Consider the following 19,979-nt stretch of genomic DNA (forward strand, 5'->3'; position numbering starts at 1 on the left):
CGGGCAGGGGCGTTGCTAGCTCTACTTTGCAAATAGGGACATGTGGGCTCAGAGTGGTCACCAGGACAGCAGCACCCACATTCAAGCCCAGCCCTATCTGTCCCCAAAACCCAGTTTCTGCCCTACCACCCACCTCACCCCCATGCTGCCAGAAACCACCCATCTCCTCTCCCTTGTGGGTGATCTAAAAGTCGTCCCTCAAGAACTGAGCCCTTAGCCAGGCTGGTCTTGAACTCCTGACCTCAAGCAATCCACCCACTTCGGCCTCCCAACGTGTTGGGATTACAGCTGTTAGCCACCGCGCCCAGCCCGTGGTGGTGCACGCCCGTAGTCCCACCTACTCAGGAGGCAGGAGAATTGCTTGAACCTGGGAAGCAGAGGTTGTAGTGAGCTGAGATTGTGCCACTGCACTCCAGCCGGCGCAACAGAGCAAAACTCCATCTCAAAAAAAACAAAACTGAGCCCTTGAAGATGAACGTGAATTCCGAGGGAGTGAGCAGAGTGTGTGGGTTTGGTGCCTTGAGTTGCACAATCTCTCAGGCAGCAGGAATAGATCCAGTCCGTCCTGGTTTCAGGCAAGATGAAGGGAGCTTGTGTCTACAAAGGGCTGGCAGCTCCCATCCAGAGCATGGCTGGGCCTGATAGAGCCACACCTGGAAGCATTTATAACCACACCTGACAGCTCCCTCTGGGGTGGGGCACCCCCAGCTCCCGTCTGGGCCAAGGTGAGCAGGCAGAGGCAGATGAGGGCCCTCCCTGGCTCCTGACCTCACCTCGACTTTATACAGCTGGGGATGGGTGGGGCTGGGAGCACTGGGGAGCAAAAACCTGGGGCTTTCTGATGCTGTCCCATGGGGTGTCAACCAGGAGCTCCCAAATGAGACCCACTGGGCTCATGACAATGACCCAGCCAGGGAGGTGAGGTAGAAGGCAGGGGTCCTGTCTGCCTCCCACCATTGGCTCCCGAGAGCCCCAGGAGTTCAGAGGCCTTTCCAGGAGTGATCTCAGATTCATGGTCCAGCCCCAGCTCTTCCCTGATGGGGAGCAGGTGGGTAAGACAGAAAGGCATCTAGGGCCGGTGGCTCACACCTGTAATCCCAGCACTCTGGGAGGCGAGGCAGGTGGATCACGAGGCCAGGAGATCAAGACCATCCTGACTAACACAGTGAAACCCTGTCTCTACTAAAAAAAAAAAAAAAACAATACAAAAAATTAGCCGGGCGTGGTGGTGGGCGCCTGTAGTCCCAGCTACTCTGGAGGCTGAGGCAGGAGAATGGCGTGAACCCGGGAGGCGGAGCTTGCAGTGAGCCAAGATCGCACCACTGCACTCCAGCCTGGGTGACAGAGTGAGACTCCGTCTCAAAAAAAAAAAGAAAGAAAGAAAGGCATCTAGGTCGGGCGCAGTGGCTCACGCCTGTGATCCCAGTGCTTTGGGAGGCCTAGGCAGAAAGATCTCTTGGGGCCAGGAGTTCAAGACTAGTCTGGGCAACATGGTGCGACACCTGTCTCTACAAAAAATTTAAAAATTAGCCAAGTGTGGTGGCACACATCTGTAGTCCCAGTGACTCAGGAGGCTGAAGCAGAAGAATCACTTGAGCCCAGGAGGTCAAGACTGCAATGAGCTATGATCACTCCACTGCACTCCAGCCTGGGCAACACAGCGAGACTCTGTCTCAACAAAAAAAAAAAAAAAAAAGGAGAGAGAGAAAGGCATTTATGAGCTCTCTCTCAAAAAGGAAACTGAGGCTCAGAGAAGGCATGAGGACTTGCTGCTTCCCCAGCTCATCAAGGTGAGTGGCCTGGAGTCTGCCCCGATTCTGGGCCTGGGCAGGGCAAGACTTCAGTGGCCTTGGCTCCCCATAGAAGTAGGAGGAGTGGAGCCTCAGTCCCAGGATAGGGACAGCAAGTACAGTGGGACAGAAGAAGTGGGAGGCCCTGGGTACTAGAGAGGCAGGAGGTTGGCTCTGAGAGCACTTTACCGGAGACAGCAGAAAGCCATTTAATCTCTGTGCACAGCAGTTTCCTTGTCTAAAAACCAGGGATAACAGGGCCGGGTGCGGTGGCTCACACCTGTAATCCCAGCACTTTGGGAGGCCGAGACAGGTGGCTGACTTGAGGTCAGGAGTTTGAGACCAACATGGCGAAACCCTGTTTCTACTAAAAATACAAAAATTAGCCGGGTGTGGTGGCTCATGCCTGTAATCCCAGCACTTTGGGAGGCCAAGGCAGGCGGCTCACTTGAGGTCAGGAGTTTGAGACCAACATGGCGAAACCCCGTTTCTACTAAAAATACAGAAATTAGCCGGGTATGGTGGCACATGCCTGTAATCCCAGCCACTTGGGAGTCTGAGGCAGGAGGATCGCTTGAACCCAGGAGGCGGAGGTTGCAGTGAGCTGAGATTGCGCCACTGCACTCCAGCCTGAGTGATAGAGTGAGACTCTGGCTCAAAAAAAAAAAAAAAAAAAAGACAAAAAAAAAAAAAACAACAACAACTAAAACAGGGACCTAAGTCAGGGGAGAAGGAAGGCTGGAATGGCCATGCCTACAAAGACAGGAAAGAGGGAATGTCAGGGTTGTGGCAGGAGCCTAGGGCAGCACCCTCCCTCCAAGCTGGGAGATAGGAGCCAGGATCCCATTGGTGTTTAGATGGATGAGGTAGGGTCAAGGGGCAAGCTCCAGGCTCTAAGCACTTCTGTGCAGACTCTACTACTTGGAGCTCCCCTCTCCCTCTGTGATGTGGGCATCAAAATCTGCAGAAAGGGAAACTGAGGCCTAGAGAAAGGAGGGGATTTGCCCAGAATGACACAGGAAGTCCAGACTAATTCAAGTTTGCGGCATTTGAGGTTCCTGGCCAGTGTTTCTTTTTCTTTTTTGTTTTTTCTTTTTTGTTTGAGACAGAGTCTCGTTCTGTCACCGAGGCTGGAGTGCAGTGGCGCGATCTCAGCTCCCCGCAACCTCTGCCTCCTGGAATGATCCTCGTGCCTCAGCTTCCCCAGTAGCCGGGATTACAGGCACCCATCACACCTGGCTAATTTTTTGTATTTTTGGCAGACACGGGGTTTCGGCATGTTGGCCAGGCTGGTCTTGAACTCCTGAACCCAGGCAATAAGTCTGCCTCAGACTCTCAAAGTGCTGGGATTACAGGTGGGAGCCACCACGCCCGGCCAACCAGTGCTTCTTAAGGAAAGATACATATAGTAGGAGATGTGACAGTAATCTTCCTCCTGGCCCCTCTCAGCACTGTGCCATGGAGGTTCTGATCTGGGCCAGCTGCGCTGTTAGGGGAAGGGGGAAAATGGCCAAACCCCATGTATTCTCCTTCCTTTTCCCTCTCTTCAATCCCAGGCAGGTAACAATAATTATGATGTACCAGGCTCCGGGCCAAAGTCATCACCTGCATTAGGTCACCAAATCCTCAGGCCAACCCATTACAGTCATGAGTCACTTAATAACAGACACATTCAACAAATTCCTTGTTAGGCAATTTCATCATTGTGGGAACATCTCAGAGTGGACTTACACAAACCTAGATGGTCTAGCCTACTACACACCTAAGCCATATGGTCTAGCCTACTGCTCCTAGGCTACAAACCTCTACAGCATATGACTGCACCAAATATTGAAGGCAGCTGCAACATGAGGGTAAGTATTAGTGTTTCTAAAGATAGAAGATGGCCAGGCGCGGTGGCTCACGCCTGTAATCCTAGCACTTTGGGAGGCCCAGGCGGGTGGATTACTTGAGGTCAGGAGTTCAAGACCAGCCTGGCGAACATGGTGAAACCCCATCTGTACTAAAAATACAAAAATTAGCCAGTGTCGCGGCACTTGCCTGTAGTCCCAGCTACTCAGGAGGCTGAGGCAGAAGAATCACTTGAACCTGGGAGGTAGAGGTTGGAGTGAGCCTAGATCAGGCCACTGCACTCCAGCCTGGGCGACAGAGGGAGACTCCATCTCAAAATAAATAAATAAATAAATAAATAAAACATAGAAGATGTACAGTAAAAACACGGTAATTGTTTTTGTTTGTTTGTTTTGAGACAGGGTCTTGTTCTGTCATGCGGACTGGAGTGCAGTGGCACCATCAGGCTCACTGCAGCCTCGACCTCCTTGGCTCAAGTGCTCCTCCCACCTCAGCCTCCTGAGTATCTGGGACTACAGGTCCACGCCACCATGCCTGGCTAATTTGTTCTGAATTTTAGTAGAGATGGGGTCTCACTGTGTTGCCCAGGCTTGTTCCAGCCTTCTGGCTTCAAGTAATCCTCCCACATCAGCCTCCCAAAGTGCTAAGATTACAGATGTCAGCCACTGCACCCAGCCAGTAATATAATTTTATGGGACCACCTTCATATTTGCTGTCCCTTGCTGACTTACACATCTTTATGCAATGCATGACTGTTACCATCATTATCATCTCTATTTTCCAGATGGGGAAACTGAGGCACAAAGAATCTAACTTGCACAAGTTCATCTGCTTAGTGATGGAACAAAGATGTGAATTCAGGCAGTCTGGCTTCAAAGTCCACACGCCTAACAACCACACCAGATTACTAGATTGCTTTTTTCTTTTTTCTTTTTTTTTTTTTGAGATGGAGTCTCACTCTGTCACCCAGGCTGGAGTACAGTGGTGAGATCTCGGCTCACTGCAACCTCTGCCTTCTGGGTTCAAGCAATTCTCCTGCCTCAGCCTCCCCAGCAGCTGCGATTACAGGCGCCCGCCACCACACCCAGCTAATTTTTGTATTTTTAGTAGAGATGGGGTTTCACCATGTTGGCCAGGCTGGTCTCAAACTCCTGACCTCTGGTGATCCTCCCACCTCGGTCTCCCAAAGTGCTGGGATTACAGGCGTGAGCCACCACGCCCAGCCCAGACTGCTTTATTTTTGTATTTGTATTTATTCATTTACTTATTTTGAGACAGGGTTTTGCTCTGTAGCCCAGGCTGAAGTGCAGTGGTGCAATCCAGCTCACCACAGCCTCTACTCACCGGGGTTCAAAGGATCCTCCTGCTTCAGCCTCTGGAGTAGCTGGGGCCACAGGCATGCACCACCATGCCCAGCTAATTTTTAAATATTTTTTGGTAGAAGTAGGGTCTCACTATGTTGCCCAGACTGGTCTCAAACTCCTAGCCTCAAGGGACCCTTCTGCCTTGGCCTCCCAAAGTGCTGAGATTACAGGCATGAGCCATGCACCCAGCCCCTTTTTAAAATTTTTTTGAGAGACAAGACTTTGATCTGTTGCCTAGGCTGGAGTGCAGTGGTGAGATCATAGCTCACTGCAGCCTCAACTCCTGGGCTCAAGCACCAGACTCCTTTTATCACATTCTATCTCACACGCGTGTGGTTCCAATCCTGCCTCTGCCACTTCTCAGTTGTATGCCCCAACCCAACCTGTCTGGCTCTGTCCTCCTTAACAGAAGGACGGCCCTGGCCACGGGCCACAGCCAGCAACGCTTAAGCACCAGGGCCGGCGAGTGCCCTGCCGTGGCACGGCTCCAGCGTCGCGCTCTCGAATTCATTTGCTTTCCTTAACGAGAGAAGGTTCCAGATGAGGGCTGAACCCTCTTCGCCCCGCCCACGGCCCCTGAACGCTGGGGGAGGAGTGCATGGGGAGGGGCGGCCCTCAAACGGGTCATTGCCATTAATAGAGACCTCAAACACCGCCTGCTAAAAATACCCGACTGGAGGAGCATAAAAGCGCAGCCGAGCCCAGCGCCCCGCACTTTTCTGAGCAGACGTCCAGAGCAGAGTCAGCCAGCATGACCGAGCGCCGCGTCCCCTTCTCGCTCCTGCGGGGCCCCAGCTGGGACCCCTTCCGCGACTGGTACCCGCATAGCCGCCTCTTCGACCAGGCCTTCGGGCTGCCCCGGCTGCCGGAGGAGTGGTCGCAGTGGTTAGGCGGCAGCAGCTGGCCAGGCTACGTGCGCCCCCTGCCCCCCGCCGCCATCGAGAGCCCCGCAGTGGCCGCGCCCGCCTACAGCCGCGCGCTCAGCCGGCAACTCAGCAGCGGGGTCTCGGAGATCCGGCACACTGCGGACCGCTGGCGCGTGTCCCTGGATGTCAACCACTTCGCCCCGGACGAGCTGACGGTCAAGACCAAGGATGGCGTGGTGGAGATCACCGGTGAGCCCCCCTGCTCCTGCAGGGGAGAGGAGGAGGCTAGCAGGGCGGGCAGGGCCGGGGGCGTGCGGTTGAAACGGGGGTCCCGGGGGCCTGGGGAGTTAAACGTTGGCCCAGCACCGGGAAAAACAGGACTCCTGATTCCCTTGCTCAGGAATTGGGAGTGCGGGTCGCTTCTAAGGGCGCTTTCTGCTCTGTAATCCCAGCGCTTTGGGAGGCCGAGACGGGAGGATCGCTTGAGGCCAGGAGTTCAAGACTAGCCTGGGCAACATAGCGAGACGCGCCCCCCCGCCCCGACCCCGCGCCATTACAAAAAAAAAGCAAACAAAAATTTTTTTAAAGATCATCGATGAAGAGAGAAAATGCGCTTTTCTACAGAGTCCCCTTCCCACCCACAGCCCCATCCCCAGATAAGCGGGGAGTTCCCTGGCGCGGTGCCAGTTTCTAGCCGCTGAGTGGGCGTGTGCGCGGCTCCAAGTGCGCCTGCGTACTGCTCACTCCCCAGCTCCGCGCCCTGCTCCGTTCCTCCCAAAACTCTGAATCGAAGAACTTTCCGGAAGTTTCTGAGAGCCCAGACCGGCGGGCACGCCCCCATCCCCAACCCCCTCTGTTAATCCCTACCAGCCTGCAGTCCTGGCTGCTTCCAAGCAGGAGGTGGGGCCTCTGGCCTAGCGGGGCCGAAAGGCAGTCCCCTCCCCCGCAGTCTGATTTCCCTCTTCCCCCCAAAGGCAAGCACGAGGAGCGGCAGGACGAGCATGGCTACATCTCCCGGTGCTTCACGCGGAAATACACGTGAGTCCTGGCGCCAGGTCGGGGTGGGTGGGTGGCGTGGGGGTGGGGTCAGGGAAGAGGGCACAGGGACCCACCCGGTGTGTAATGTAACGCTTGCCTTTCCTCTCTGCACGTCCAGGCTGCCCCCCGGTGTGGACCCCACCCAAGTTTCCTCCTCCCTGTCCCCTGAGGGCACACTGACCGTGGAGGCCCCCATGCCCAAGCTAGCCACGCAGTCCAACGAGATCACCATCCCAGTCACCTTCGAGTCGCGGGCCCAGCTTGGGGGCCCAGAAGCTGCAAAATCCGATGAGACTGCCGCCAAGTAAAGCCTTAGCCCGGATGCCCACCCCTGCTGCCGCCACTGGCTGTGCCTCCCCCGCCACCTGTGTGTTCTTTTGATACATTTATCTTCTGTTTTTCTCAAATAAAGTTCAAAGCAACCACCTGTCACTGGCCCAGGCCCTGGTGTTTGTGGAAGGAAGCCTCAGGCACCTGCCATTTGCTGGCTTTCAGGAGTCATCTTTGCTCAGGCCCGTGCTGGGCCATGTGGGTACACTGGTGTAGGTTGCTGGACACAGGCTGACTCACATCCATAAAGACAGAGGTCTTAGGGCCGGGCGCAGTGGCTCATACCTACAATCCCAGCACTTTGGGGGGTTGAAGCAGGAGGAGTGCTTGAAGCCAAGAGTTCTAGACCAGCCTGGACAACATAGTAAGACTGTCTCTAAAAAATAAAAATTAGGCAGGGTGGTACTGCACGCCTGTAGTCCCAGCTACTCAGGAGGCTGAGGCAGGAGGATCGCTTGAGCCCAGGAGTTGTGAAGGGTACAGTGAGCTAACATCGTGCCATTGCACTCCAGCCTGGGCAACAGAACAAGATCCTGTCTCAAAACAACCAAAAGCCCAGAGAGAAAGAGTGAGACCCCATCTTTAAAAGAAAAAAAAAAAAGGTCATGATTGCAAGGTCACGATTGCAATTAAAACTGTAAGGTGGGGAAGGAGGAGGAAATAAGAGAAGCACCTGAGGCTTGAGTTCTCAGGAGCACCTAGGTTGGGTCCCAGGTGAAGGGGCACAGAGGTAATTGCACCTCAGAGCTGATGGGAGGATTACTATGTCAAAAGCTTGGCATCGGCTTCAGCACACCCCAAGGACACCACAGTGGACCTGGCAAGCTTTGAGATCTCTGTCACCGCCACACTCCCTGAGGCCAGGGCATCCCTGTTGGCAGTCACAAGGGAACTGGCAAGCCGAAATGGGGTGAGAACGGAGCCCGCAGAGTCTCGGGGTGGGGAGATTGGGCAGAGCCCTGGCCAACCGACGGGCTCAGACCTGTGCTGCTGGCTGGGCCAGCAGCTCTTGTTGCCTGTGTTTATTTCCAGCTGGCCTCCCTCCAGGTGTAGACAGGCTTCCAAGGGCCCAGTTCCCCTCTCTCTTGTCTGCCCTTGCCCTAGCTGCCACCCTCTCACCAGGCCCAGGGAAAGTTGAGGTAGAAAGCAGATGGGGGACCAGGCGCGGTGGCTCACACCTATAATCCCAGCACTTTGGGAGGCCGAGGCGGGTGGATTACCTGAGGACAGGAGTTCGAGACAGCCTGGCCAACAGTGAAACTCCGTCTCTACTAAAAGTACAAAAATTAGCCGGGCATGGTGTTGCATGCCTGTAATTCCAGCTACTCAGGAGGCTGAGGCAGGGGAATCGCTTGAACCCAGGAGGCAGAAGTTGCAGTGAGCCAAGATCCATGCCACTGCCCTCCAGCTTGGGGGACAAGAGCAAAACTCCATCTAAAAAAAAAAAACAAAAAACAGATGGGAGCTTTGGAGCTCAGTCCCAAGGTCCTCAAATATTTGAGGGACCCAGAGTCTGAGGCTGTAGCAAGATACTCCCATGTTCAAGGCGGAGCATGCAGTGAGCCGAGATCGTGCCACTGCACTCCAGCCTGGGCGACAGAGGAAGACTCCGTCTCAGAAGAAAAAAAAAAAAAAAAAAAAAAAAAAAAAAATACTCCCATGTTCTTTTCTCAGCCCACAGTCTGACTTTCCCAGGTTCCCTAAGAAGGGTGGCACCCTGCAGGCGAGGGCCTGGAGCATGTCCACACCACCCCCAATATCACCCCCCACCACCTTGCTGCTTTTTTGAGACCAAGTTTTGCTCTTGTTGCCCAGGCTGGAGTGCAATGGCGTGATCTCGGCTCACTGCAACCTCCGCCTCCCAGGTTCAAGCGATTCTCCTGCCTCAGCCTCCAGAGTAGCTGGGATTATAGGCGTGCGCCACCCTACCCGGCTAATTTTTGTATTTTTAGTAGAGACAGGGTTTTTCTATGTTGGTCAGGTGGGTCTCGAACTCCCAACCTCAGGTGATCTGCCCGCCTCAGCCTCCCAAAGTGCTGGGATTACAGGCGTGAGCCACCACGCCCGGCCCCAGCTTCTTTTTTAGGGACAGTCTCCTACTGTCATACAGGCTGGCGTGCAGTAGTGGGATCTTGGTGCACCATACCAAAGTGTTGCAGCCTGGAACTCCTAGGCTCAAGGCATCTCCAGGAGCGCGCCACAAGCCTGGCTGATTTTTTTTTTTTTTTTGGTAGACAGAGTCTCGCTATGTTGCCCAGGCTGGTCTCAAACTCCTGAGCTCAAGCCATCCTCCTGCGTTGACCTCCCAAAGTGCTGGGATTACAGGGGAGAGCTGCTGCGCCCAGCCCAGTCTACTCCCTCGAGTTCCCTGTCCAGAGACCCACATCTGGAGCAGGGTGGGGAGTCAGAGCAGGTCCCAGCCCACGCTCTAGGGCTCAGCTCAGATGATGTGAGCCTGGGGCAGCACCTCTGGGCATAGTGGGCTCTGGCTGGCAGGACAGGACAGGCTGGCCCAGATCTGGGGGTCTCTGCTGGGTGTTAGATTTGTGGAGTCTTTGTGCTGCTTCTGGGGTGGTGGGGCAATTCTGGGCCTCTCCAGGCCTGTCCTGCCTTTTCTTTTTTTTTTTAGATGGAGTCTCACTCTGTCAGCCAGGCTGGAGTGCAATGGCATGATCTCAGCTCACTGCAAGCTCCGCCTCCCGGGTACAAGCGATTCTCAGGCCTCAGCCTCCTAAGTGGGATTACAGGCACCTGTCACCACGCCTGGCTAATTTTTGTATTTTTAGTAGAGTCAGGCTTCCTCCATGTTGGCCATGCTGGTCTCAAATTCTGAAAGAGGAGAATTGCCTGAACCTAGGAGGTGGAGGCTGCAGCGAGCTGAGATTGCACCACTGCACTCCAGCCTGGGCAACAAAGTGAGACTCGGTCTCAAACAAACAAAAAGGCAGGACAGGCCTGGAACTGCCCCTCCCCCCCAGGACGGGTGTTGTCTAGGGCTTGCTGACCTCACAGTCTGTGAGATCAGGCAGCCCCGGGCCTTGGCTGCCCAGGAGTGAATTATTTCCAGGCGCCATCATCACTCCGACTATAGAATCAACAGGATTTGACAGGTGCAGCTTTCGACTGCTCTGTTGAGAGGGTGGAGACAGAAGCAAAAGCTGCCCACAGAAAGGCGACAGGGAACCCCAGAGCTAGGTCCCAAGAGCCTCTTGGTGATGGAGGAGAGCCACCAAGGGACAGGAGGGTTGGGGGAACTGGAGCTCCGGCCCAGGGACAGAGCCCCAAACCACCTCCAGCCCAGGCACAGAGCCCCAGACCACCGAAGCCCTATGCCACCATGGCAGAGCCCAGGGCAGGGCAGGGGTCAGGCTGGCCCCCCCAAACACCTCCCCACCATTCCCACATGCATACACCAGGACCTGGGGGGTTGCAACAGTGCCAGAGGTCACGGGTTGGCAGGGGAGGGAGAGGAGGAAGAAAGCAGAAGAGCAGAGGGATGCGGGTGAGGCTGGGCTTGTCTCAGACAGTCTGGCACTAGCCCTCAAAGCTCAGAATCCCTGATATGGGGGCTAAGCCCCACTGCCATACTGCCCCTCCCAGGGAAATTGCCCCCCAGGGAATATGGGGGGAACCTCTGAGTGTAGCTCCCCTGGGGCCTGGAGGGCATATCAAGACATGGGGGATAGTGAACAGCATCATAGCTCTAAGTGTCCCTGATCTGGCTGGGCGTGGTGGCTCACCCCTGTAATCGCAGCACTTTGGGAGGCTGAAGGGGGCAGATTAGCTGAGGTCAGGAATTCAAGACCAGCCTGGCCAACATGGCAAAACCCGTCTCTACTAAAAATACAAAAATTAGCCGGGTGTGGTGGCGCACGCCTGTAATCCCAGCTACTCAAGAGGTTGCAGTGAGCTGAGATCAGGCCACTGCACTCCAGCCTGGGCAACAGAGCAAAACTTTCAGGAAAAAAAAAAAGTGTCCCTGATCTGTAAATGTGTAGTGGAAACTATAGAAAGGCACTGCAGGCTGGGCGCAGGGGCTCACACCTGTAATCCCAGCACCTTGGGGGGCCTAGGCAGGAGATTTACTTGACACCAGGAGTTAGAGAGCAGCCTGGGCAACATAGCAAGAACTCATCCCTGCAAAAAAAGAAAAAAAAAATTAGCCACATGTGCTGGTGCGCACCTGCAGGAGGATCACTTAAGCCGAAAAGCTAGAAGCTGCAGTGAGTTATGATCACACCACTGCACTCCAGCCTGGGTGATAGTGCAAAACCTTGTCTCAAAAATAAATAAATTTAAGAAAAGCAAAGAAAAGGTGTTTCCGGCTGGGCACAGTGGCTCACACCTGTAATCCCAGCACACTGGGAGGCCAAGGCAGGAGGATTACGAGGTCAGGAGTTTGAAACCAGCCTCACCAATATGGCCAGGCGTCGTAGCACGCCTGTAGTCCCGGTGAGTCCAGAATTCGTGGGTTCTTGGTCTCACCGACTCAAAGAATGAAGCCGAGGACCTTCACGGTGAGTGTTACAGTTCTTAAAGGCGGCGTGTCGGGAGTTTTTTCCTTCTGGTGGGTTCATGCTCTCACTGGCTCAGAAGCGACGCTGCAGACCTTCACCGTTGAGTGTTACAGCTCTTAAGGCGGCGCATCTGGAATTGTTTGTTCCTCCCGGTGGGTTCGTGGTCTCGCTAGCTGAAGAGTAAAGCTACAAACATTCACGTCAAGCGTTACAGCTCTTAAAAGCGGTGTGGACCCAAAGAGCGAAACAACAAAGCTTCCACACTGACGAAGAAGACCCTAAGTGGCTTGCTACTGCTGGTTCGGGTAGCCTGCTTTTATTCGCTTATCTGGCCCCACCCACGTCCTGCTGATTGGTCCATTTTACAGAGAGCCGACTGGTCCATTTTACAGAGAGCTGATTGGTCCGTTTTGACAGGGCTGATTGGTGTGTTTACAATCCCTGAGCTAGACACAAAAGTTCTCTACATCCCCACTAGATTAGCTAGATAGAGAGTGTGGACACAAAGGTTCTCCAAGGCCCCACCAGAGTAGCTAGATACAGAGTGTCGATTGGTGCATTCAGAAATCCTGAGCTAGACACAGGGCGCTGATTGGTGTGTTTACAAACCTTGAGCTAGATACAGAGTGCCGATTGGTGTATTTACAATCCCTTAGCTTGACATAAAGGTTCTCCACCAGACTCAGGAGCCCAGTTGGCTTCACCCAGTGAATCCTGTATGGGGGCCGCAGGTGGAGCTGCTTGCCAGTCCCGTGCTGTGCGCCCGCACTCCTCAGCCCTTGGGTGGTCGATGGGACTGGGCGCCGTGGAGCAGGGGGCGGTGCTTGTCAGGGAGGCTCGGGCCGCGCAGGAGCCCACAGCGGGGTGGGGAGGCTCAGGCATGGCGGGCTGCAGGTCCCGAGCCCTGCTCTGCTGAGAGGCAGCTAAGGCCCGGTGAGAAGTCGAGCACAGCAGCTGCTGGCCCAGGTGCTAAGCCCCTCACTGCCCGGGGCCGGCGGGGCCGGCCGGCTGCTCCAAGTGCGGGGCCCGCCAAGCCCACGCCCACCCGGAACTCGCGCTGGCCCGCAAGTTCCACGCGCAGCCCTGGTTCCCGCCCGCGCCTCTCCCTCTACACCTCCCCACAAGCTGAGGGAGCCGTCTCCGGCGTCGCCAGCCCAGGAAGGGGCTCCCACAGTGCAGCGGCGGGCTGAAGGGCTCCTCAAGTGTCGCCAAAGTGGGAGCCCAGGCAGAGGAGGCGCCGAGAGCGAGCGAGGGCTGCGAGGACTGCCAGTACGCTGTCACCTCTCACCAGCTACTCGGGAGGCTGAGGCAGAAGAATCGCTTGAACGCAGGAGGCAGAGGTTGCAGTGAGCCAAGATTATGCCACTGTACTCCAGCCTGGGCAAAAGAGCGAGACTCCGTCTCAAAAAAAAAAAAAAGAAAAGAAAAAGAAAAGGTGTTCCCCTCCATGCCCCAGTGGACTAATTCGTTTGGGCAGGTACCTTTCCCAGAAACTGGCTGGCCCAACCCTTCAGCTTACAGAGGGGAACTTGAGGCCTGACTGGGACTGCATTTGGCCAGGGTCACCCAGCAGGTCTGGGCAGGGCAGGAGCAGGGTGCGTGCACTCCACCCCAAAGGGTGCACTGTTCTACCCATCAACCGATGCCCTGGGTGCCAGCGCTGAGGAGGCCAGGGATGGAGACCCACGCATAAGCAGAGATCACTCCATTCCTGGCACGCTCCTCCTGGTCGAGACCTCTGGTTCTCTTTCCCTTTCCAACTCGCCAGGTGACTTTGGACCTCGCTTTGCCCATCTAACTGTGCCTCCCAAGGACGAGCCATATTTTCATGGGCTGCTTACAAGAGACAGCCCTGCCAACCGCCAGTTGGTGCTGGGAGAGTTGGCAGTGTGACAAATGCCGGGAATCCCTGGCTTGGCTGAGAAGGGACGGCTCTGGATCAATAACAGACTCGTGGGATGGCCTCGGGCAGGAGCACGAGGGTGGCAGAGCCTCCCTGGCTGGCCTGCAAACAAAAAGCAAGTGTCCAGCCAGGGCTCTCGACTCAGCCCAGGGAGAAAAGAGCACAGCTGGGGACCCTGGGAAAAACAGACTCCCTCTGGGCGGGGTTCCTATAGCATAACAGCCCCTCCCACCCTTCTTCTCAGCTGGGTACAGCAGCTGCCCTGCCTAAGATGACAGTGATGGTATCAGCAGCTGACTCTGGTAGAAGGAAGTCTTCCCCCTCCCTGCCCACCGCCCCAGGACTGAACAAGGGGGCAGAGCCTGCCAGGAGGGATTGGGGTTAAAGAATGAATCAAGGCCAGGCGCAGTGGCTCATGCCTGTAATCCCAGCACTTTGAGAGGTTGAATCGGGAAGATCGCTTGAGCCCAGGAGTTCAAGACCAACCTAAGCAACATAGTGAGTCCCCATCTTTACCAAAAACGTTTTTAAAAATTAGCTGGGGCTGGACACAGTGACTCACACCTGTAATCCCAGCACTTTGGGAGGCTGAGGCAGGTGGTTCATCTGAGGTCAGGAGTTCAAGACCAGCCCTAACCAACATGGCGAAACCCTATCTCTACTAAAAATACAAAAATTAGCTAGATGTGGTGGTGCTTGCCTGTAATCCCAGCTACTCAGGAGGCTGAGGCAGGAAAATCGCTTGAACCTGGGAAGCAGAGGTTGCAGTGAGCCAAGATTGTGTCATTGCACTCCACCTGGGCAACAAGTGTGAAACTCCATCTCAAAGAAAAAAAAAAATTCTGAGCATGGTGGCATATGTTTATAGTCCCAGCTACTCAGGAGGCTGAGGCAGGAGGATGGCTCGAGTCCAGGAGGTTGAGGCTGCAGTGAGCTATGATCATACCACTGCATTCCAGCCTGGGCAACATAGTGAGACTCTGGCTCTACTAAAAATAAGAAATTATCTGGGCACGGTGGTGCCTGCAGTCTGATCTACTTGGGAGGCTAAGGCGGGAGAATCTCTTAAGCCCAGGAGTTCGAAGCTACAGTGAGCTATGGACATGCCACTGCACTCCAGCCTGGGTGACAGAGCAAGACCTTGTCTCTAAAAAAAATAAAGAATTGATTGAGGCGGCAGGAGTAGCTCCATGTTTAGGAAAAAGCCAGCCGGGCGAGGTGGCTCACACCTGTAATCCCAGCACTGTGGGAGGCCGAGGCAGGCGGATCACCTGAGGTCAGGAGTTCAAGACCAGCCTGGCCAACAGGGTGAAACCCCATCTCTACTTAAAAATACAAAAAATTAGCCAGGCATGGTGGCGGATACCTGTAATCACAGCTACCCTGGAGGCTGAGGCAGGAGAATTGCTTGAACCCAGGAGGCAGAGATTGCCATGAGCTGAGATAGCGCCATTGTACTCCAGCCTGGGCAACAGAGCAAGACTCCATCTCAAAAAAAAAAAAAAAAAAAACCAGGGAAAAAGCCCAGGGCTGGGGCCAGACCTTGGTTTGGGCCCGCTGCACCCTGGCGGAGACATGGGCTGGGGTGCAGCCTGGCCCTGGGCTCAGTTTCCATTCTGAGACTTCACTTCTGGGGGACCTCTGGTTGTCTGTTGGTGTTGTCAGTCCCATGCAGGGTGACGATCTAGGGGGAGTCATGAATAGTGGAAGCTACCCAGGTCCCCTAACAATCGTAGGAAGACCAAAGTCCCAGGGGGACTTGAGGATATGCAGATATTTCTGTGCATGACCAACAAGGGCCTGGGTGAGAAAGGCCTTCAGTCTGGCCCCTGACCCCACTAAGTAACCCCTTTTTTCCCTATGTCGTTCTGCTCTCCATATGATGGGCTCCTCAAAGTCCTCTTAGGAATGGCTGGGAGCGTCTATGTCTTCAGGCTGGTGGGACCACAGGATAAGGAGGTTGAAAACTTAATCAGGTGGATGGATGACAAAGAGGTCACTCCCGCCGGGTGCAGTGGCTCACACCTGTAATCTAGCACTTTGGGAGGCCGAGGCGGACGGATCACTTGAGCTCAGCAGTTCAAGACCACCCTGGGCAACATGGTGAAACCCAGTCTCTACCAAAATACAAAAAAAATTAGCCAGGCATGGTGGTGGGTGTCAGTAGTCCCAGCTACTCGGGAGGCTGAGGCATGAGAATCACTTGAGCCCGGGAGGTGGAGGTTGCAGTGAGCCAAGACTGAGCCACTGCACTCCAGCCTGGGTGACAGAGCGAGACTCCATCTCAAAAAAAAAAAAAAAAAAGGTCAGCCAGCGCAGTGGCTCACACCTGTAATCCCAGCACTTTGGGAGGCTGAGGCAGGCAGATCACGAGGTCAGGAGTTCAAGACCAGCCATGACCAACATGGAGAAACCCCATCTCTACTAAAAATACAAAATTAGCCAGGTGTGGTGGTAGGCGCCTATAGTCCCAGCTACTCAGGAGGCTGAGGCAGGAGAATGGCATGAACCCAGGAGGCAGAGGTTGTGGTGAGCTGAGATAGTGCCATTGCACTCCAGCCTGGGCAACAAGAGCAAAACTCCATCTCAAAACAAAAACAAACAAACAAACAAACAAACAAAAAAGAAATCACTCCCTTCTTTGGGTTCACCTACCCTCTCTTGGCCCTCATGCCCTCACTGGACCCCTCGTGAGTTCCCATCTGCCCCACTGATTCTGTCCCTCCCTGACTCAGCTCCACTACCTGACTGTACCCCTCCCAACACCAAGTCCCTCCTCGCACAGGAAATCCGTTCTTTCTTTCTTTTTTTTCTTTTCTTTTTTTGAGACAGAGTCTCGCTCTATTGCCCAGGCCAGAGTGCAGTGGTACCATCTTGGCTCACTGCAGCCTCCTCCCAATGGGTTCAAGTAATACTTGTGCCTCAGCCTCCAGATTAGCTGGGATTACAGGTGTGCACCACCATACCCAGCTAATTTTTGTATTTTTAGTAGAGACGGGGTTGCACCATGTTGGCTAGTCTGGTCTTGAACTCCTGACCTCAGGTGATCCGCCCGTCTTGGCCTCCTGAAGTGCTGAGATTATAGGCATGAGCCACCGTGCTTGGCTTCTTCTTTTCTTTTTGTTTTCTTTTTTAGAGACCAGGTCTCACTCTGTCTCCAGGCTGGAGTACACTAGTGAGATCATAGCTCACTGCAACCTCCAACTCCTGGGCTCAAGCAATCCTCCTGTCCAGCCTTCCGAGTAGCTGGGACAACAGGTGTGCGCCACTATACCTGGTAAGTTTCTAATTTTTTGTAGAGATGCGGGTCTCACTATGTTGCCCAGGGAGGTCTCGAACTCCTGGAATCAAGTGATCCTCCTGCCTCCACCTCCCAAAGTGTTGGGATTACAGATGTGAGCCGCCTCACCTGGCCTTTCTTGGAGTTCACCCGTCTTCCCTGAGCTCCCACCCCATGACTGCACTTCCTCACTTCCCCACTCTCCCCTCCCTTGTTTGAGGCCCCTCCCCTCTCTGAATTCCACCCCACCTGTCTCTGAACCCTGATGCCCAAACTATCCCTTTGTAATTCCTCCCGTGGCCCCAAAGACCCCTCTTCTCCAGGTCTGCCCAGCCTGAAAGCCTTGAACCCTGGGAGCAGCCCCACAGACCGATCCCCTCAGCAGGGGGTAGTGGGCTCTGGGTGGGAGAAAGATAAATCAATCCCCACCCGGGCTCAAGTCAAGATCAGGCAGGAAGCCTCAGCCCCTCCCACACGGAGGATGGAGCTGTGCGCAGGCAGGCCCGAGACTGCCCCCTAGAGGACGCCCTGGGGTTTGCGGACCCACATCGCCCCACTCCCAGGCCCAGATAGGACAGTAAGCGACTGCCCCCTGGTGCCCTCCCAGAGAGGATGAATTCCTCAGGCACCAACACTGCCCAGTCCAGAACCTTCAGGAATCTCTGCCCAGGTTCTGAGCCCTGTAGAGCGCAAACAGGGGCAATTGACTTGGTCTTGGCCAGACGCAGTGTCTCACACCTGTAATCCCAGCACTTTGGGAGGCTGAGGCGGGAGGATCGCTTGAGCCTAGGAATGTGAGACCAGCCTGGACAACATAGTGAGATCCCTTCTCTACAAAAAAAAAAAAAAAAAAAGGAAAAAGTAGCCGGACATGGCATGGCAGTAGGTGCAAACCTACAGCCCCAGCTGCTCGGGAGGCTGAGGTGGGAGGATTGCTTGAGCCCAGAAGCTTGAGGCTGCAGTGAGATATGATCACAACACTGCACTCCAGCCTGGAAGACAGAGCGAGACTCTGTTTCTTATAAATAAATAAATAAATAAATAAATAAATAAATAAATAAATAAAACAAAGAGACAAGCCGGACATGGTGGTTCATGCCTGTAATCCCAGCACTTTGGGAGGCTGAGGCAGGTGGATAACTTGAGGTCAGAAGTTCAAGACCAGCCTGGCCAACATGGTGAAACCCCGTCTCCACTAAAAATACAAAAATTAGCCAGGTGTGGTGACGGATGCTTGTAATCCCAGCTACTCGGGAGGCTGAGGCAGGAGAATTGCTTGAACCCAGGAGGTGGATGTTGCAGCAAGTTAAGATTGTGCCACTGCACTCCAGCCTGGGTGACAAAGCGAGACCCTGTCTCAACAAAAATAAAAAGAGGCCCAGTCTTGAAAAACTCTGACACCTCCCCACTGCCCCTCTCCCCAGCCCCACACCCAGCACGCCTTTAGCCCGGTTCTCCTCTGCCCTGGGCTTCAGTTTCCAAGGGCCTTCAAGCCTCCCTGAATTTCCCTCCTGGAAGACCCAGCCCACTCTCTCTGCCTTGGAAGGGTCTGGCAGCCAAGGCCTGAGCCCGGGCTCCTGCCCCACCCTGTCACACCCTCTGCTGCAGGGGGGTTGACCACTGTTTCCACTCTGATCCTAATCAGAACTGGCACATTTTAGGAGGCACCTGCTAGCTGCCAATCACTCGTTAGCTTATTAAATCCTCATAGCAACCCCACTCCACTGAGCGGCAGCACGGGATCGCAGTTATGGTTGCAGGAACTCATGTCACACTGCCTGGGTTCAATCCCACTTGGCCACTTACTTCTTAGCTGTGGGACCTTGGGCATGTTGCTAAGTCTCAGTTTCCTCATCTGCAAATGATGCAACTATATGAATTAATACCTAAGAAGTATTCTTTTTTTTTTAACTGAGTTTCATTCTTGTTGCCCAGGCTGGAGTGCAGTGGCACTATCTCGGCTCACCGCAACCTCTGCCTCCCGGGTTCAAGCGATTCTCCTGCCTCAGCCTCCCGAGTAGCTGGGACTACAGGTACCTGCCACCACACCCGGCTAATGTTGTATTTTTAGTAGAGATGGGGTTTCTTTTTTTTTTTTTTTTGAGACGGAGTCTCGCTCTGTCGCCCAGGCCGGACTGCGGACTGCAGTGGCGCAATCTCGGCTCACTGCAAGCTCCGCTTCCCGGGTTCACACCATTCTCCTTCCTCAGCCTCCCGAGTAGCTGGGACTACAGGCGCCCGCCACCGCGCCCGGCTAATTTTTTGTATTTTTAGTAGAGACGGGGTTTCACCTTGTTAGCCAGGATGGTCTCGATCTCCTGACCTCATGATCCACCCGCCTCGGCCTCCCAAAGTGCTGGGATTACAGGCGTGAGCCACCGCGCCGGGCCGAGATGGGGTTTCTTTATGTTGGTCAGGATGGTCTCTAACTCCCGACCTCAGGTGATCCACCCATCTCGGCCTCCCAAAGTGCTGGGATTACAGGCATGAGACACCATGCCTGGCTTTTTTTTTTTTTTTTTTGAGACAGGATCTTGCTCAGTTGCCCAGGCTGGAGTGCCATGGCACCATTACAGCTCACTACAGCCTCGAATTCTTGGACTCCAGCTACCCTCCTACCTCAGCCTCCCAAGTAGCCGGGACCACAAGCATTTGTCAATATGCCTGGCTAATTTTGTAATTTTGGTAGAGATAGGATCTCGCTATGTTGCCCAGGCTGGTCTGGAACTCCCAGTCTCCAGCGATCCTCCTGCCTCAGCCTCCCAAAGTGCTGGGATTACAGGCTTGAGCCTCTGCACCCAGCCACTGTGAAGTCTTTAGAAGGCTGCTGAGAGCCGATAGTAAGCACTCAGTCACTGCTAGACATTTTTGAGGTAGGTTGTATTATTCTCGTTTTACAGATGTAGAAACTGATCCTCTAAAAGGCTAAATACCTTGAGAGGTTATGTCACCTAATTAGGACATGGTGGGATGAGAATCCAAATCCTGAGCTCTTAAGCTTTTGTCCCCCAACAGCCCTTTATTCAGAAAATGAAACATT

At 54.4% G+C, this 19,979-nt stretch overlaps 1 protein-coding gene across 1 annotated transcript, besides 2 other annotated features; it reads left to right on the forward strand.

The window, feature by feature from the left end:
- Positions 2,456 to 2,750: a silencer, noted in NCBI's record as "tiled region #11180; K562 Repressive non-DNase unmatched - State 23:Low". NCBI's record gives its function as "represses a minimal TATA promoter and a strong SV40 promoter by Sharpr-MPRA in K562 cells {active_cell/tissue: K562}" and the evidence as "EXISTENCE:reporter gene assay evidence [ECO:0000049][PMID:27701403]".
- On the forward strand, positions 5,717 to 7,336 carry HSPB1 (heat shock protein family B (small) member 1). The gene is made up of 3 exons (NM_001540.5): positions 5,717 to 6,120; positions 6,846 to 6,909; positions 7,028 to 7,336. The coding sequence occupies exons 1-3, from the start codon at positions 5,757 to 5,759 to the stop codon at positions 7,215 to 7,217; spliced, it is 618 nt and encodes a 205-aa protein (NP_001531.1). The 5' UTR covers positions 5,717 to 5,756; the 3' UTR covers positions 7,218 to 7,336.
- Positions 17,316 to 17,610: an enhancer, noted in NCBI's record as "tiled region #14050; HepG2 Activating DNase unmatched - State 4:PromP, and K562 Activating DNase unmatched - State 8:EnhW". NCBI's record gives its function as "activates a minimal TATA promoter and a strong SV40 promoter by Sharpr-MPRA in HepG2 and K562 cells {active_cell/tissue: HepG2 | K562}" and the evidence as "EXISTENCE:reporter gene assay evidence [ECO:0000049][PMID:27701403]".

Source organism: Homo sapiens, chromosome 7, assembly GCF_000001405.40.
Source record: "Homo sapiens chromosome 7, GRCh38.p14 Primary Assembly".
Lineage (NCBI taxonomy): Eukaryota > Metazoa > Chordata > Mammalia > Primates > Hominidae > Homo > Homo sapiens.